At 43.6% G+C, this 17534-nt stretch overlaps 1 protein-coding gene across 1 annotated transcript in view, besides 2 other annotated features; it reads right to left on the reverse strand.

Moving 5' to 3' along the window:
* The window catches only part of THEM4 (thioesterase superfamily member 4), a 38646-nt gene that overhangs the window by 19414 nt on the left and 1698 nt on the right, over nucleotides 1-17534 (reverse strand). Inside the window, exon 2 of the mRNA NM_053055.5 lies at nucleotides 4729-4915. Coding sequence (NP_444283.2) covers nucleotides 4729-4915 — 187 coding nt within the window. The remainder of the gene's footprint in view (nucleotides 1-4728; nucleotides 4916-17534) is intronic.
* Nucleotides 7440-8639: an enhancer, noted in NCBI's record as "CDK7 strongly-dependent group 2 enhancer chr1:151870195-151871394 (GRCh37/hg19 assembly coordinates)". NCBI's record gives its function as "activates an origin of replication core promoter dependent on BRD2, BRD4, P300/CBP, MED14 and CDK7 cofactors, with strong dependence on CDK7, by STARR-seq in HCT116 cells {active_cell/tissue: HCT116}" and the evidence as "EXISTENCE:reporter gene assay evidence [ECO:0000049][PMID:35650434]".
* Nucleotides 15978-16517: an enhancer, noted in NCBI's record as "H3K27ac-H3K4me1 hESC enhancer chr1:151878733-151879272 (GRCh37/hg19 assembly coordinates)". NCBI's record gives its function as "activates a minimal SCP1, AML or CMV promoter by ChIP-STARR-seq in naive H9 embryonic stem cells {active_cell/tissue: H9 hESC(naive)}" and the evidence as "EXISTENCE:reporter gene assay evidence [ECO:0000049][PMID:30033119]".

A 17534-nucleotide genomic window follows, 5' to 3' on the forward strand; every position in this document is an offset into this window, starting at 1 on the left:
GTTTAGACACAGTTTTTTTTCACTTACACAATTGTGAGCAAGTTGGGGGAACTGGATTGAATCAAAATATAGGTCACTTCAAAATAAAGATTGAAAGCCATTGCTCTCAAGAAATAGTGCATTTATCCTTTTGTATCTATTTTAAAATTTAATCCCCCTACTCACCTTTCTTTCATAGCTCATCATGATTTGCCATATATAAAACTGTTTATTTCTATTGAATTTATATTTACAAACGTGGAAAAAGATACAGATGAGAAGATCCAGGAGAAGTGGGGAGAGGGACAGGAAGGATGCATTTGAATTAGGTCATGAGCATCTCAGGGCAGGCACCCTGTCTTTTAGACTTTGCATACCCAACAAATGGCACAGATGTGCACATACTATATACACTTAAGCAGTTGTTGAGTGAATTGATGGTTTAGAAGGACAGACAAGGAACCTTAAAATTGGGGATCAGTATTATGGTGCAGTGGAAAGAACCTTGGCCCGTGAGTTGGGAAAATTAAATTATTGGCCTACCTCTGGCCTAGAACTCACTCTTTTGCACTACACTTTATCCATACAATGAGGAGATAAAACAAAATGAGCTCTAAGATCTCTTCCAACTCTGACATTCCAGGACTTCAGGATAAGATAGGTGTTAAGTGCTTATAATTGTTTTACTTAGGAGTTTGAGATTTCTGGTCTAGATTGGCAAACCTTGAGCTTATTTCATAAAAATGAGAAAAATAAGGTCTGGGTTGAGTTAAAATGTAGGTCATTTCAAAATAAAGACCAAAAGCTACTACTCTCAAGAGGATGTGTTTGTCCTTTGTGATGGTGAAAGAAGTTTGTTGGAAATGCAGAATCTCAGGTTCTACTTCTGACCTTCTGAAGCAGAACTTGCATTTTAACAAGATTCCTAGGTGCTTCATATTCATTTTTAAGTCTGAAAGGCAAGAGTATTTTAAGAAATGGGATAGCACTGAAAATAGCATTGGAATAACATGATGAGATTTGCATTTTGAATCATTCTGACAGTTGAGTGGAAGAAGGGCTTTGAGGAGGATAAGAATGGAGACAGGAGATGAAACTACAAAAATCACAATCACCAAACTTATCTGCTAGATGGGGTGATTTTCTCTAGCAATGCTTAACTATGTGAAAGCCAGTTCAAAGTAAAGATGGCAGATGGTTGGATTCATCCAGGGCTGGGGTTTTCCTAGGTTAGGTGGGCTACAAAAGTTCAGATAGATGAGGGCTATTGGACCATGAGAAAGTAAAGGATTCAATGAACTCAGAAGGTCTTAATGAAATAACAATTGTTTCTGAGGGGCCTTTGAACAAGTAAGCTGCTGAAAGGAAAAATGCTGTCATCAGAAAACAGGATGTTTAAATGTATGCATTTGGAGGCTGTGTACTGTCTGAAGATAAGGCTCGAGATGTTCATGGCAGTGTGTGGCTGGGGCTGGGGGATAAGAAAAGTTCATAGGTGATGAGGAAGCACATAAACTGAGGAGCCACTGTGTAGATGCTCGAGTTGCTGAGGATGCTGAATGGAGTTGGGTAGATAGCGGACCAGCTGCTGAAATACTCAACACTGAGGGAGAGGTTGACAGATGACAGCAACAAGGAGGAGAAGAAGAGGAGGGTGACAAAGTTAGATGGTATAAACTCAAAGAAACAGAGGTTTTTTGTTTTTGTTTTTTTTTGAGACAGAATCTTGCTCTGTCACCCAGGCTTGTCTCAAACTCCTGGCCTCAAGTGATCTGCCACTTTGGCCTCCCAAAGTGTTGAGCCACTGTGCCCAGCCCAGAGGGCTTTTTAAGATGAGGGGAAGTAATGGTTTGAAAACAAGTGTGGGTAGCAAAGAGGATCTCAAACTCCTCTTGATTCTGAGAGGGTCAAATTTTAGTCAAGAGCGAATGAGGGTTGGATGAAGAAATGAGCAAAATGTAGGAATGGAACCCTGGAAAACATTGACATTTAAGGAGCAAGTAGAAGGAGGAGGGAAGATTGGTCTGAAAGGTTTATGAAAGCCAAAAGAAAATGTTTCAATGAGAATGAGACAGGGAGGTCTAGTACAGTAAGTGCTGAAGAATGCACACTGAATTTGGCACTTCCGTCACTAGTGGCTTCAATGAAGACATTTCAGTAGAGCTGTGAGGGTAGAAGCCAGATTGTGCTGGGATAAGGACAGTCAGTTGTGTGATGTGCTAACAGTTGGAAGAGAATAAGTAATACAAACTACACATTTTTCCTCTTCATTTATAAAACAGAATAATTCTTCCCTCGAGATATATCAGAGATTCTGCAAAGAAACTTAAGAACTCTATAATTTTTCTTGATTAGTTTTATTTTTGTTTTATTCATTCCTTCAGCAAATACTAAAGTATCTACCATGAGGAAACTGAGGCACAGAAAGGTAAAGTGCCTTGCTCAAAGTTGCACAGCTTTAAATTGTGGAACCAGAATTTGAACCCAGGCACTAAATTTCAACCATTTAATTAAGAAGTTGTCAACTTCTGGATGGTCTCTAAAGCTGAGAGACTGCATGAGATTACCAATGGAGTGTGGAGAAGAGAGGAGTACTAAGGACTGAGACTTGAGGGCACCCCAACATGAAGGGTTTGAGGATGGGGAAGAGCCAGCCCAAGAAACTGAAAAGGAGGCACCAGTGAAGTGGAGAATGTGGTGTCCTAGAAGTTATGTTCAAACAGAAAGGAGTCAACAGCTGTGCCAAAAGCTGAGAGGTTAGCGGACTCAGCAACATGAAGGTCACTGGTACCTTTGGCAAGAGCTGTTTTGAGGGAGTGGGTTCAAGATAGGCTGGGCACAGTGGCTCATGCCTGTAATCCCCGCACTTTGGGAGGCCAAGGTGGGGCAGATCACTTGAATTTAGGAGTTCGAGACCAGCCCGGCCAACATTGTGAAACCCTGTCTCTATTAAAAATATAAAAATAAGCTGGGTGTGGTGGCATGCACCTGTAATCCCAGCTACTTGAGAGGTTGAGGTGGGAGAATCACTTGAACCCGGGAGGAGGAGGTTGCAGTGAGCCGAGGTCACGCCACTGCATTCCAGCCTGAGTGACTCAGTGAGACTCATTCTCAAAACCAAAAACAAAAAAAACAAAAAAACAACAAAACAAAAAAACCCAAAACAAAAGAGAGAGAGAGAGAGAGACTGGGAAGAGAGAAATGCAGTTGTGGCATGTTTATATGCTGATACGAAACATCTAGCAGAGATGGATGTCCTTCAGTAGGCCAAAGAAAATGGAATGCAGCGCACAAATGGAAGGCTTGGTCTCCCTAAGAGTGTGGATGGTTCACTCACAGCAGGAAGAAGCAGAACATCAGGCACAGATGCAGGGGGGAGGATATGTGAGGCAATGGGAGACTGGGAGTTCTCTTCTGACTGCTTTTATTTTCTCTTAGTGAGATAGGAAGCGAGACCAACTGAGGGTGAGAAGGGAAAGTATTAGAGGCATAAGAAGAAAGAAAAAGGCAGAAAATACTCATCCAGTAAGGGAGGAGAGTGAATAAACTAGGGAAACATGAAGTATGGTTGTTGGGCAATATTGAGAGCCTTCTTTTTCTCTTTTTTTTTTTGTAGGGGGGGAGACAGTCTCACTCTGTTGCCCAGGATGGAGTGCAGTGGCGCGATCTCAGCTCACTGCAACCTCTGCCTCCTGGATTCAAATAATTCTTCTGCCTCAGCCTCCCAAGTAGCTGGAATTACAGGTCCCCGCCACGAGGCCCAACTAATTTTTTTTGTATTTTTAGTAGAGACGAGGTTTCACCATGTTGGCCAGGCTGGTCTTAAACCCCTGACCTCAAGTGATCCGCCCGCTTCAGTCTCCCAAAGTGCTGGGATTATAGGCATGAGCCACGGTGCCTGGCCCAAGGGCCTTCTTAAAAGTCAGTTAAAAAAAACCAACCACCACCTAAAGATGTGTTTGGATGATTAAAAGATAATGAGTAACTCAGAAATATCTGTGAATGATTCAAATATACTATAATGATGGATATCTGTCATTACACAGTTGTTAAAACCCACGGAAAACATAATACGAAGAGTGAACCCTAAAACAAACTATGGACCTTAATTAAGAATAATATATTAATATTGGCTCATCAATTGTAACAAATACACCACAGTAATGTGAGATGTTAATAATAGGAGAAATTAGGGGTGGGGAGGGGATAAAGGGTATATGGGAACTCTCTGTACTTTAGGCTAATTTTTCTATAAAATTATAATGCTAAAAAAGTATATTAGTAAAAAAACACAGAAGGATAGGAATTGCTATGTGTGTGTTTTGGGTGTTGGGTGGGTTGCCCTGGGGATTTAGATACTGGGAGATGTGGGTATAACCTGAGTGTTCTAAGCTTCTTAGGGTGATATAACCAGATATGGGATAAAGGGTGAAATGAGATTAGATGACAGCCTCAAGACGGAGAGGTGATGAGGTTGTAGGAGGGTGGAAGCTCTCTGGGGCCCTTTCTTCACTCTTGCTAATGGTGATAAGAATGCCAGGGTGGGAGCAGTCTTATTCTTGACAATAGGCTTTATGCTCTCCAATCTGCAAAATTTATTGTGATTTCTGGTCTATAAAATTGGTGACTATAGAACCATAATCCTGCATTATATTCTTTCTTTTTTTCAGGTAGTAACTAGTACTTCAATCTGTTCTTAGCTTTATATTTGATGCTCAGATATATTAATGGGAAAGTGGCTGTTTCTACCAAGAAAATGGGTTTTGAAGTCTTGAATCCATTCAGTAGGTGTACGTTTATATGAAGGCAAACGTTTCCAGGAGCCGTCTTCACATTTCTTCATAAACTGGTCAAAGAGCAGTCTTAGGTCCTTGTTCCAGCTGGGGTTGGGGACAGAACAGTCCTTAAGAATGACTTCCTCAGAAGAAAATGACCTCTAAAAGACAGAAGAAAAAGAAAAGTAAGTAATGGGAGGTGCATTCTATTTCATAACATATTCTCCCAATTTCTAAGATTATCTTGCTGCTTTTCTTCTCCCCATAAGCTTGTCACTTCAAAATGGAAGGGAATTTCAGGGATCATCTGGTCCAACCTCCTTGGGAAAATGAGAGACTGAGAGAGGGAAAATGATTTGCTCAACATCACCCAGCGAGCTATTGACAGAGCCAGGATTATGCTCAGGTCTGCTGATTCCATTCTTTTTTTCCAGACTTTAATCAAGCACAGGTAAGCCCAGCACACTGGAGATGGAGGTTAAGAACAGGCATTATCTTCCATGTTGAAAGTGCTTCCAGTGGCTATGCACAGGAAGTTAGGGGATAAGGGAGAAGTACTCATCTAGGATTAGGGGTTCAGGAAGGGGTTCTTTGACTTGAATATTGATTAGATAAGCAGAAATTAGCCAGCTGGAAAAAGTATTACAGGAAAAAAAAAAAAAACACTGGAATATAGTTTGGATGTGTGTTCCCGCTCAAATCTCATATTGAAATGTAATCCCCAAAGTTGGAGGTGGGCCCTGGTGGGAGGTGAATGGATCATGGGGGTGAATTTCTCATGGACGGTTTAGCACCATCCTCCTCGGTACTGTCCTCATGATAGTGAGTTCTCATGAGATCTGGTTGTTTAAAAGTGTATAGTACCTTGTGCCTTGCACTCTTGCTCTTGCTGTGTCCATGTGAAGTGCCTGCTCCTGCTTTGCCTTCTGCCATGACTGTAAGTTTTCTTGCTTCCTTTTTTTTTTTTTTTTTTTTTTGAGACAGAGTCCCACTCTGTTGTCCAGGCTGGAGTGCAGTGGCGCAATCTTGGCTCACTGCAACCTCCACCTCCTGGGTTCAAGTGATTCTCCTGCCTCAGCCTTCTGAGTAGCTGGAGTTACAGGTGCCGCCCCACCACACCCGGCTAATTTTTGTATTTTTAGTAGGGATGAGGTTTCACCATGTTGGACAGGCTGGTCTCGAACTTCTGACCTTAGGTGATCTGCCCACCTCGGCCTCCCCAAGTGCTGGGATTACAGGAGTGAGCCACTGTGCCCGGCTGACTGTAAGTTTTCTGAGCCCTCCCCAGCAGCCAAGCAGATGCCACCATCATGCTTCCTGTATAGCCTGTAGAAATGTGAGTCAATTAAACTTCTTTTCTTTATAAATTACGCAGCCTCAGGCATTTCTTTATAGCAATGTGAGAACAGCCTAATGCAGTGGGCAAAAGAGGCATGAAACAGTTTTGAGGGGCCTTATTACAATCATATGAAGTAGGTACTATTTATTATCCTCATTTTGCAGATGATGAAATTAAGGCCTAAAAGAAGTTTGGCATTATTAGGGTGCAAGAATAGGGGCAGATGGCTGCAGAAATGCATGTAAAACCTTAACACTAAGCTAACTGGCTTGAATTGTATCTGCAGTGCTCTCTGAGGGATTTTAAATGGGGGGTAACATGATTAGATCTTTCCATAATATAAAAGATAGTGGGAGTGTCCAAGGTTGAAATCAGAGGGCCCTATTTGGAAGCTACTAGGGTAACTCAGGTGAGAAATCATGAGAGCATGAAGCAGAACTTGGTGACAATTTGGATAAGGAGGGTAAGGGAAAAAGAGAAATACAAGACCCAGTACCAGGATTCTGAATCCTGCAGTGAGGTGAATGACAGAGCCAATTACCAAAAAATATAGGAGAAAGAGGAGTAGGGAGCTCAGGGGACAAGTTTTTGGTGTCACAGTAACCACAACTTCCATCCATCTATTTCTGTAGCACCAAGCACTGCTATTACTCCAATGCCCAGGCAACAAATGGAACATTGCAGGGATCCTAGAGGACCTGGAAGACAAAGTGTGACTTACTCAGGAGCAGAACAAAGTGTATGCCCACAAACACCAGAAAGGAAACTGGCTTTTTGGACTGCTGCAGTTATCTTGGAACATGTAGGATCACAGAAGCTATTAACTCCATGGCATTCTACTTTCAGCCACCCTTATCAATTCATTCAGATTTAATGTACCTACAATACACACACTGCACCATAAAACCAAAACGGGGAGGTCACAGTATGATGGGAGAACCAGCTTTCTGCTGACAGGGGCTGGCTCCAATGCTGGCTTGGTGGGAAGAATACAGAGAACCTGTCTCAAAAACTCTATGGAAGAAGAGACAGCCTGGCCTCCCAACCTATATCTTTCTTCCATGCTGGATGCTTCCTGCCCTCGAACATCGGACTCCAGGTTCTTCAGTTTTGGGACTCTGACTGGCTCTCCTTGCTCCTCAGCTTGCAGACAGCCTATTGTGGGACCTTGTGATCGTTCTTAATTATTGTAGGAACATAATACGTGTTGGATTGGGCAGAGTGATTCCTCCAACTTTCTTCAAAATCGTATTAGCTGAGCATGTGGAGGCTTGTATTGTGAATTTTAGTTCAAGATTGACTGCAAGAACCAGCAATCCCAAGAGGACCCACAGACCCTCTGAAGGAAGCGGACTACTCCTGCAGGACCGGGAGACATCCCAAATACTGTGAGTGCCCCAACTGTGGAATTGGGAAAGAAAGACCCTCCTCTCCTGAACACACACCCCTACTGGAGAAGCTGGTCTGTCTGCAGGAGAAATTTCTGACTTTACCTGGAGCTGAGTCAAGTTAGAGAGCTAAGCTGAGCGAAATACAGGGTAAGGGAAGCAGCAGAAAGGCCCTGGGAGCTCACTGGGTCCCCAAGCAGCCCATACCTGCCTGGCACCACAGGGATTCATCAGGAGGGTGGCCAAAGGAGCAGGGGGTAAAATTCCACAGGGAGAAGAAATTCTGCGGCTGAACTTTGTAACAGTTTGAACTGGGGAGAAGCTTCCTGGCCAGAACTCGGGGAGGGCATGAACCCGGCTTGCAGACTTCACAGGTCGGGGAAGAACTAAAGCCCTTTTCTTTTGCAGCTGGGAGGTGGAAAGCCTCAGACAAGTTTTCAAGCCCGTCTTGCCCTCCACCTGGAAACAGACACGGGGATGTTGGAAGGGCATGGTGGGAGTGAGACCGGCCCTTCGGTTTGCATGGGAGCTGGGTGAGGCCTGTGACTGCCGGCTTTCCCCAACTTCCCTGACAACCTGTATGACTCAGCAGAGGCAGCCATAATTCTTCTAGGTACACAACTCCAGTGACCCGGGAATCTCACTGCCATCCCCCACAGAAGCTGCAGCAAGATCCCCCCAAGGAGAGTCTGAGCTCAGATGTGCCTAGCCCCAGCCCCAGGTGATGGTCCTTCCCTATCCACCCTGGTAGCAGAAGACAAAGGGCATATAATCTTGGGAGTTCTAGGGCCCCGCCCACCACCGGTCCCTCACCATACTGCTACAGCTGATGCTTTCTGGAAAGTGCCACCTCTTGGCAGGAGGCCAACCAGCACAAAAGTAGAGCATTAAACCAAAGCTAAGAACCCTCACAGAGTCCACTGCACCCTCTGCCACCTCCACCAGAAAAGGCACTGGTATTCATGGCTGGGAGACCCATAGACAGCTCACATCACAGGACTCTGTGCAGACAACTCCTAGTACCAACCCAGAGCTGGGCAGACTCACTGGGTGGCTAGACCCAGAAGAGAGAAAACAATCACTGTAGTTCAGCTCACAGGAAGCCACATCCACAGGAAAAGGGGGAGAGTACTACATCAGCAGAACACCCTGTGGAACACAAAAATCTGAACAACAGCCTTCAGCCCTAGACCTTCCCTTTGACAGAGTCTACCTACCCAAATGAGAAGGAACCAGAAAACCTACCCAGGTAATATGACAAAACAAGGCTTGTCGACACCCCCCAAAAATCACACTAGTTCACCAGCAATGGATTCAAACCAAGAAGAAATCCCTGATTTATCTGAAAAAGAATTCAGGAGGTTAGCTATTAAGGCAATCAGGGAGATACCAGAGAAAGGCAAAGCCCAATGCAAGGAAATCCAAAAAATGATACAAGAAGTGAAGGGAGGGCCAGGTGTGGTGACTCACGCCTGTAATCCCAGCACTTTGCGAGGCCAAGGTGGGCAGATCACAAGGTCAAGAGATTGAGACCATCCTGGCCAACATGGTGAAACCCCATCTCTACTAAAAATACAAAAATTAGCTGGGCATGGTGGCACACGCCTGTAGTTCCAGCTACTCGGGAGGCTGAGGCAGGAGAATTGCTTGAAGCTGGGAGGTGGAGGTTGCAGTGAGCCAAGATTGTGCCACTGCACTCCAGCCTGGGCGACAGAGTGAGTCAAAAAAAAAAAAAAAAGAAGGGAGAAATATTCAAGGAAATAGCTTAAAGAAAAAACAATAAAAAATTCAGGAAATTTTGGACACACTTTTAGAAATGCAAATTAACCTAATCCAACAAAGAGAAAGAAAAAGAACAAGAAAATATGAACAAAGCCTCCAAGAAGTCTGGGATTTTGTTAAACTACCAAACCTAAGAATAATTGGTCTTCCTGAGGAAGAGGACAATTCTAAAAGCTTGGAAAACATATTTGGGGGAATAATCGAGGAAAACTTCCCTGGTCTTGCTAGAGATCTAGACATGCAAATACAAGAAGCACAAAGAGCACCTGGGAAATTCATCACAAAAAGATCTGCACCCAGACACATTGTCATCAGGTTATCCAAAGCTAAGACAAAGGAAAGAATCTTAAGAGCTGTGAGAAAGAAGCACCAGGCAACCTATAAAGGAAAATCTATCAGCTTAACAGCAGATTTCTCAGCAGAAACCCTACAAGCCAGAAGGGATTGGGGCCCTATCTTCAGCCTCCTCAAACAAAACAATTATCAGCCAAGAATTCTGTATCCAGTGAAACTAAGTATCATATATGAACGAAAGATACAGTCCTTTTCAGACAAACAAATACTGAGAGAATTCGCCATTATCAAGCCACCATTACAAGAACTGCTAAAAGGAGCTCTAAATCTTGAAACAAATCCCAGAAACCCATCAAAACAGAACCTCTTTAAAGCATAAATCACACAGGACCTATAAAACAAAAATACAAGTTAAAAAGCAAAAACAAAAAATAAAAAAAACCCCACAGTACACAGGCAACAAAGAGTACAATGAACACAATGGCACCTCACATTTCAATAATAACATTGAATGTAAATGGCCTAAGTGCTCCACTTAAAAGACACAGAACCGCAGAATGGATAAGAACTCACAAACCAACTATATGCTGTCTTCAAGAGACTCACCTAGCACATAAGGACTCAAATAAACTTAAAGGGTGGAAAAAGGCATTTCATGCAAATGGACACCAAAAGCAAGCAGAGATAGGTAGCTATTCTTACATCAGACAAAACAAACTTTAAAGCAACAGCAGTCAAAAAAGACAAAGAGGGACATTATACAATGGTAAAAGGCCTTGTCCAAAAGGAAAATATCACAATCCTAAACATATATGCACCTAACACTGGAGCTCCCAAATTTATAAAACAATTACTAACAGACCTAAGAAATGAGATAGACAGCAACAAAATAATAGTGGGGGACTTCAATACTCCACTGACAGCTGCTGGGGATAGGCCCCCAAATCTGGCCATAAACTGGCCCCAAAACTGGCCATAAACAAAATCTCTGCAGCACTGTGACATATTCGTGATGGCCATGATGCCCATGCTGAAGGTTGTGGGTTTACCGGAATAAGGGCAAGGAACACCTGGCCCAACCAGGGCAGAAAACCGCTTAAAGGTGTTCCTAAGCCACAAACAATAGCATGAGCAATCTGTGCCTTAAGGACATGTTCCTGCTGCAGATAACTAGCCAGAGCCCATCCCTTTGTTTTGGCCCATCCCTTTGTTTCCCCTAAGGAATACTTTTAGTAAATCTATAATCTATAGAAACAATGTTTATCACTGGCTTGCTGTCAATAAATATGTGGGTAAATCTCTGTTAGGGGCTCTCAGCTCTGAAGGCTGTGAGACCCCTGATTTCCCACTCTACACCCTATATTTCTGTGTGTCTTTAATTTCTCTAGCACTGCTGGGTTAGGGTCTCCATAACTGAGCTGGTCTTGGCAGATAGCACTAGACAAGTCATCAAGACAGAAAGTCAACAAATAAACAATGGATTTAAACTATACCTTGGAACAAATGGACTTAACAGATACATACAGAACATTTCATCCAACAACCACAGAATACACATTCTATTCAACAGTGCATGGAACTTTCTCCAAGATAGATCATGATAGGCCATAAACAAGCCTCCATAAATTTAAGAAAATTGAAATTATATCAAGCACTCTCTCAGACCATAGTGGAATAAAACTGGAAATCAACTCCAAAAAGGAACCTTCAAAACCATGCAAATAGGCCAGGCGCTGTGGCTCATGCCTGTAATCCCAGCACTTTGGGAGGCTGAGGCGGGAGGATCACCTGAAGTCAGGAGTTCGAGATCAGCCTGACTAACACGGCAAAACCCAGTCTCTACTAAAAATACAAAAATCAGCCAGGAGTGGTGGCATGCGCCTGTAATCCCAGCTACTCAGGAGACCGAGGCAGGAGAACTGCCTGAACCCAGGAGGCAGAGGTTGCAGTGAGCTGAGATTGTGCCACTGCACTCCAGCCTGGGCAACAAGAGCGAAACTCTGTCTCAGAAAAAAACAAACAAAAAAAAAAAACAAAAAAACCATGCTCCTGAATGAGCACTGGGTCAAAAATGAAATCAAGATGGAAATTTAAAAAATTCTTCAGATTGAATGACAATAATGACACAGCCTATCAAAACCTCTGGGATACAGCTAAGGCAGTGCTAAGAGGAAAGTTCATAGCCCTAAATGCCTACCTCAAAAAGTCTGAAAGAGCACAAACAGACAAAACCACAATGCGATACCACCTTACTCCTGCAAGAATTGCCATAATAAAAAAACTCAAAAAACAGTAGATGTTGCTGTGGATGCAGTGATCAAGGAACATTTCTACACTGCTGGTGGGAATGTAAACTAGTATAGCTGCTATGGAAAACAGTGTGGAAAAGAAGTCATTATTCGAAAAAGATACTTGCACATGCATGTTTATAGCAGCATCATCCCCAATTGCAAATCATGGAACCAACCCAAATGCCCAACACAAAATCGTGGAACCAACCCAAATTCCCAGTGACCTGGATGAGACTGGAGACTATTATTCTAAGTGAAGTAACTCAGGAATGGAAAACCAAACATTGTATGTTCTCAATTATATGGGAGAGCTAAGCTATGAGGACGCAAAGGCATAAGAATGATACAATGGACTTTGGGGACTTGGGGGGAAGAATGGGAGGGGGATAAGGGATAAAAGACTATAAATATGGTGCAGTGTATAATGCTCAGGTGATGGGTGCACCAATATCTCACAAATCACTAGTGTAAAGAACTTACTCATGTAACCAAATACCACCTGTACCTGAATAACTTATGGAAAAATAAAATTAAAAAATAAAAATTAAACAAAACAGATCAAAACTAAACTCTATGGAAGCTGAGGCGTGGTGGCACACCTGCAGTCCCAGAACTTTGGGGGTGCCAAGGCGGGTGGATCACTTGAGGTCAGGAGTTTGAGACCAGCCTGGCCAACATGGTGAAACCCTATCTCTACAAAAAATACAAAAATTAGCCATGCGAGATGGTGTGTGCCTGTGGTCTCAGCTACTTGGGAGGCTGAGGAACAAGAGTTGCTTGAACCAGGGAGGTGGAGGTTGCAGTGAGCCAAGACTGCACCACTGCACTCCAGTCCGGGCAACAGAGTGAGATTCTGTCTCAAAAACAAACAAACAAAAAACTCTACAGAATAAAAACGTCCTGGCTGAAAAAAAGGAAGTCCTGACTTTGGAGTATCAGAGGGTTGGGGATACATGATCAGGGTTGAAACCACTTTGCCCTTAGCCCAGGATTTGTAATCTTTTTCCATATATATATATTTTTTAATTGGTTCATCCTTCCAGAACCCAGCTCAGAAAATTTGGGAAAGAAAGAAAAGAAAAAGTTTTAAACCCACCCATCTCTCCCTCTTAATATAATTAATGGCAAATTTTCTTTCCTCCAAATTTTTTAAATATAATTTTTCCTAATATACTTGTAATCTCAGTAAAAACAAAAACAAACAAAATTTTAAAAATCCCACAATTTTGCTTTCTACATTTACCACTTGAAATTATTTAGTGTTCACTTTCTCCGTAATATCAGTTACCACCATTTTCAATAGCAGAAAAATAGTCCATTAAACTGATATACTATATAATTAGCCATTAAGGTAGATATTTAAATTATTTCCAATCTTTTGCTGCTCTAAATGAAAATGTCCACTGGAACATTATGAATATAGCTTTTCCTCTATTTTGGATTATTTCCTTAGAATCCAGTCCTGATTATGTAACTTTTAAAGGACATGAATCTAGAAGTAACCCAACAAGACAATTCATCACAGATTACTATGTATTGACCAAAACATGTCAACTGAGAGGCAGAATAGTATGTATAAGCTTTGGAGTTATGAATTTGAACTCATCTCATTAGCCACTGGTCTCATCTTAAACAAGTAACACTAGGATCCATCAGTTCCACTGTCCTTTTATGGATACAGAGCTAATTAAATACTTTTAGGAATTAGAATGACTCCCTTAACTGTGGGTTCTCCTGATTTTAACTTTTAAAGTCTGGGATTCCGTTAAATCCAAGAAACTTTTTTTGAGTCCTACTACATGCCCTGGTTCTATGTGAGGGACAGGTAAAACAGAGAGAAGACTTAGACCCTGCCTTCAAGTGTTAGCAGCCTTGGATGTGAAAAATACTACAAGAGAAATAGATACAGGCATAGAACGGATGACTTTCAGGGAAAACTTTGAAATGATGGAGTGATTTCCTACGGATAAAAAGTTCATTAAGGAGAGAATGGGGAGGGGGCCTGCTCCAAGCGAAGGCATAGGAGATTGAAATAAACGTATCACATTGGGGAACTGCTAGGGTTTCAGCCTTCATATATGTAAGGTGGAAAGAGAAGAGCAGCAAGATGTGAAGAACTAGAGGGATCACACCATAGGGCTTAGATTTCAACTTCTAGGTCAGTATTTCCAAAGACCAGCATGAAAAATGATTTTAGGTGGCACAAGGACAAAAATATATGTATTTTAAAATATAACAAAATATATTCATATATTATAAAAGGACATAAGTAGAAAACTCACACGTGATTTCACCAATGTTATTACATAGGATTAAGTTAACTAAAGAAGTGGCGTCTTTAAAGAATCATGAAAGCACTTGAATGATACAGCACGTTTTTCCTTTATGAGGAGACTTAAGGAGTTTTAAGCAAGGGAGTAATATGAACATAGGTTTTAGAAAGCTCCATCTGGTGTAACGAATGAATTAAAATGGTGAAATGCAATGGTAGGGAAACCAGTTAAAAGACTGTTGCAAAGGCCCAGGTCAGATATGGTCAGAATCTGAACTAGGTACTGAGTAATGAAAAGTAAAGTTTTAAGATATTTAGGACATTGGGACTGAGGGATGTGGGGAGTTACTGACTGGGAAAGAGAAAGCAGAAGAGTCTTGAATGATTATCTAGAGCTGTGGCTTTGAAAACTAGGGTGAATAGAATGAAAAGAAAGGTTTTTCTTAGTGTGCACATGTGGATCAGGAGAGAGAAAACAGGAGTGTAACTATTAATTTTAGTTTGGCAGGGGTTGAATTTGTTACTCCAGATGGACACTATAATAATGTAGAAATAGAAATAATAAAGGTTTCAGTTCAAGGAGGTGAAAACTAAGAGATACCTGAAGTAAAGACAAAGCATAGATTATAAATGAAGTAGAAATGTTAGGGACAACGATTATATTTTGTTGTCCTGAACAGAGGAAAGGTCTTGCTTGAGCTTTGGTTACACATTTATAAAGTGGTAAGACAGCGAAGTAAAAAGAGCTCCCCAGAGAACCTCCCACCAGCCTTTGACTGGGAGAACAGGGTGGAGCCACAGAAGTTCATGCCATTGGCAGACGCAAGGAGCCTGGCCTCTTGAGTTCCTGTGTGGCAGGGTAGGAGCAGCTCCCTCTTCCTCTGCTGAGGTTTTTCTCTTTTTCCTTTTTTGCCCAATAAATTCCATTATTCTCACCCTTCTGTGTCCACAAGACTGATCTTTCCTGATTGTGTGACAAGAACTTAGATGAATTGAGAAGAAAGTCCTTTTTTTTTTTGAGACAGAGTCTCACTCTCACCCTAACTGTGTTTGGCGCTCAAATATGGGGCCTGAGGAAGTGAGGCAGGAAATTGAAGAAAGCAAAATAAAATTTAAAAAGTGAAAAACAAGCTTTCTATATGAGGCTGACTCATCCCAAAGGCAGTAACAGGCAAAGCCCTGACCCGGGTGTAGTCTTGATAACATTCTCAAAGAAACCAGGGCTCAAAGGATGTGCTCTGGAGACTCTTCCAGCACTCCCTCAACAAAAGGATAAGAAAAAGTAAAGTTCCCCCTTGAATCCCATCCCCTTCCGTGTGATTGTACCTTGCTCTGCAAGTTTTATGAGTTTATAGATTCCTGTTTTCTGTAACTAGTAACTTCAAGTATTCTGTTTTATCTAAACAGCACAGTGAAGGTTATAAGACATGCCTGAGTAGGCCTAGGCTGCGGCCGTCTGGGCACCATAGTGAAGATTATGAGATAAGCACTTGCAAGGCTCTTTTGAGCAAGCCTAGATAACAGCCACCTGGGCTGCATAAGCAAGGGTCATAGTGAGAGGTGACAGTGTGCTGGAAGTCCTCACAGCCCTCGCTCCCTCTCGGCGCCTCCTCTGCCTGGGCTCCCACTTTGGCGGCACTTCAGGAGCCCTTCAGCCCACTGCTGCACTGTGGGAGCGCCTTTCTGGGCTGGCCAAGGCCAGAGCCGGCTCCCTCAGCTTGCAGGAAGGTGTGGAGGGAGAGGCGCGAGCAGGAACCAGGGCTGCGCGGGGTGCTTGTGGACCAGCTGGAGTTCCAGGTGGGTGTGGGCTTGGCGGGCCCTGCACTCGGAGCAGCCAGCCGGCCCTGCCGGCCCCACGCAATGAGGGGCTTAGCACCCGGGCCAGTGGCTGCAGAGGGTGTACTGGGTCCCCCAGCAGTGCCGGCCCACTGGCGCTGCGCTCGATTTCTCACTGGGCCTTACCTGCCTTCTGGCGGGGCAGGGCTCGGGACCTGCAGCCTGCCATGCCTGAGCCTCCCACGCCCTCCGTGGGCTCCTGCACGGCCCGAGCCTCCCTGATGAGTGCTGCCCCCTGCTCCACGGCGCCCAGTCCCATCGAGCACCCAAGGGCTGAGGAGTGTGGGCACACAGCGTGGGACTGGCAGGCAGTTCCACCTGCAGCCCCAGTGCGAGATCCACTGGGTGAAGCCAGCTGGGCTCCTGAGTCTAGTGGGAACTTGGAGAACCTTTATGTCTAGCTAAAGGACTGTAAATACACCAATCGGCACTCTGTATCTAGCTCAAGGTTTATAAACACACCAATCAGCACCCTATGTCTAGCTCAGGGGTTGTGAATGCACCAATCGACACTCTGTATCTAGCTACTCTGGTGGGGACTGGGAGAACCTTTGTGTTGACACTCTGTATCTAGCTAATCTGGTGTGGACGTGGAGAACCTTTGTGTCTAGCTCAGGGATTGTAAATGCACCAATCAGGGCCCTGTCAAAACAGACCACTTGGCTCTACCAATCAGCAGGATGTGGGTGGGGCCAGATAAGAGAATAAAAGCAGGCTGCCCAAGCCAGCAGTGGCAACCCGCTCGGGTCCCCTTCCACACTGTGGAAGCTTTGTTCTTTCGCTCTTTGCAATAAATCTTGCTGCTGCTCACTCTTTGGGTCCACACTGCCTTTATGAGCTGTAACACTCACCGCGAAGGTCTGCAGCTTCACTCCTGAAGCCAACGAGACCACAAACCCACCGGGAGGAACGAACAACTCCAGACGTGCTGCCTTAAGAGCTATAACACTCACCACGAAGGTCCGCAATTTCACTCTTGAGCCAGCAAGACCATGAACCCACCAGAAGGAAGAAACTCTGAACACATCCGAACATCAGAAGGAACAAACGCCGGACATGCCGCCTTTAAGAACTATAACACTCACCACGAGGGTCCGTGGCTTCTTTCTTGAAGTCAGTGAGACCAAGAACCCATCAATTCCGACACAGTATGTAATCCTGAATTATGCACCTGTCACAATTTGATGAATTAATTGCCTTTGTGCTGCCTCTGTATCCTTGCTTTCACGCCACTATGCTTCACGCCACTGTAAGCTTGTTTCAAGCTAGCCCACCCCCTTTTAAAAGTGTGTATTAAAGTCAAGTGCTGTCTTTGTTCTGGGCCCAGCTTTTGGATGTTAGTCCGCTGGGTCTGAGTGCACTCAATAAAGTTCTCCTGTCTCACCCCATGGCCTCTCCAGTCCTCCTTCATTCCTGCAACAGAAGGATGAGTGAAATGGGGACTCAAAACCTCTCACTTTCATTTCTGAGCCTTTTGGTCTTATGGCATTCCTCTTCTTTTTGGGGGGACAGCAACGGCACCTATTTTTCTTTTTACGATACTGGAGGTGGTCCACACCCACCCCAATGGTCACCAGT

This window comes from Homo sapiens, chromosome 1 (genome assembly GCF_000001405.40).
Source record: "Homo sapiens chromosome 1, GRCh38.p14 Primary Assembly".
NCBI classification, from domain to species: Eukaryota; Metazoa; Chordata; class Mammalia; order Primates; family Hominidae; genus Homo; species Homo sapiens.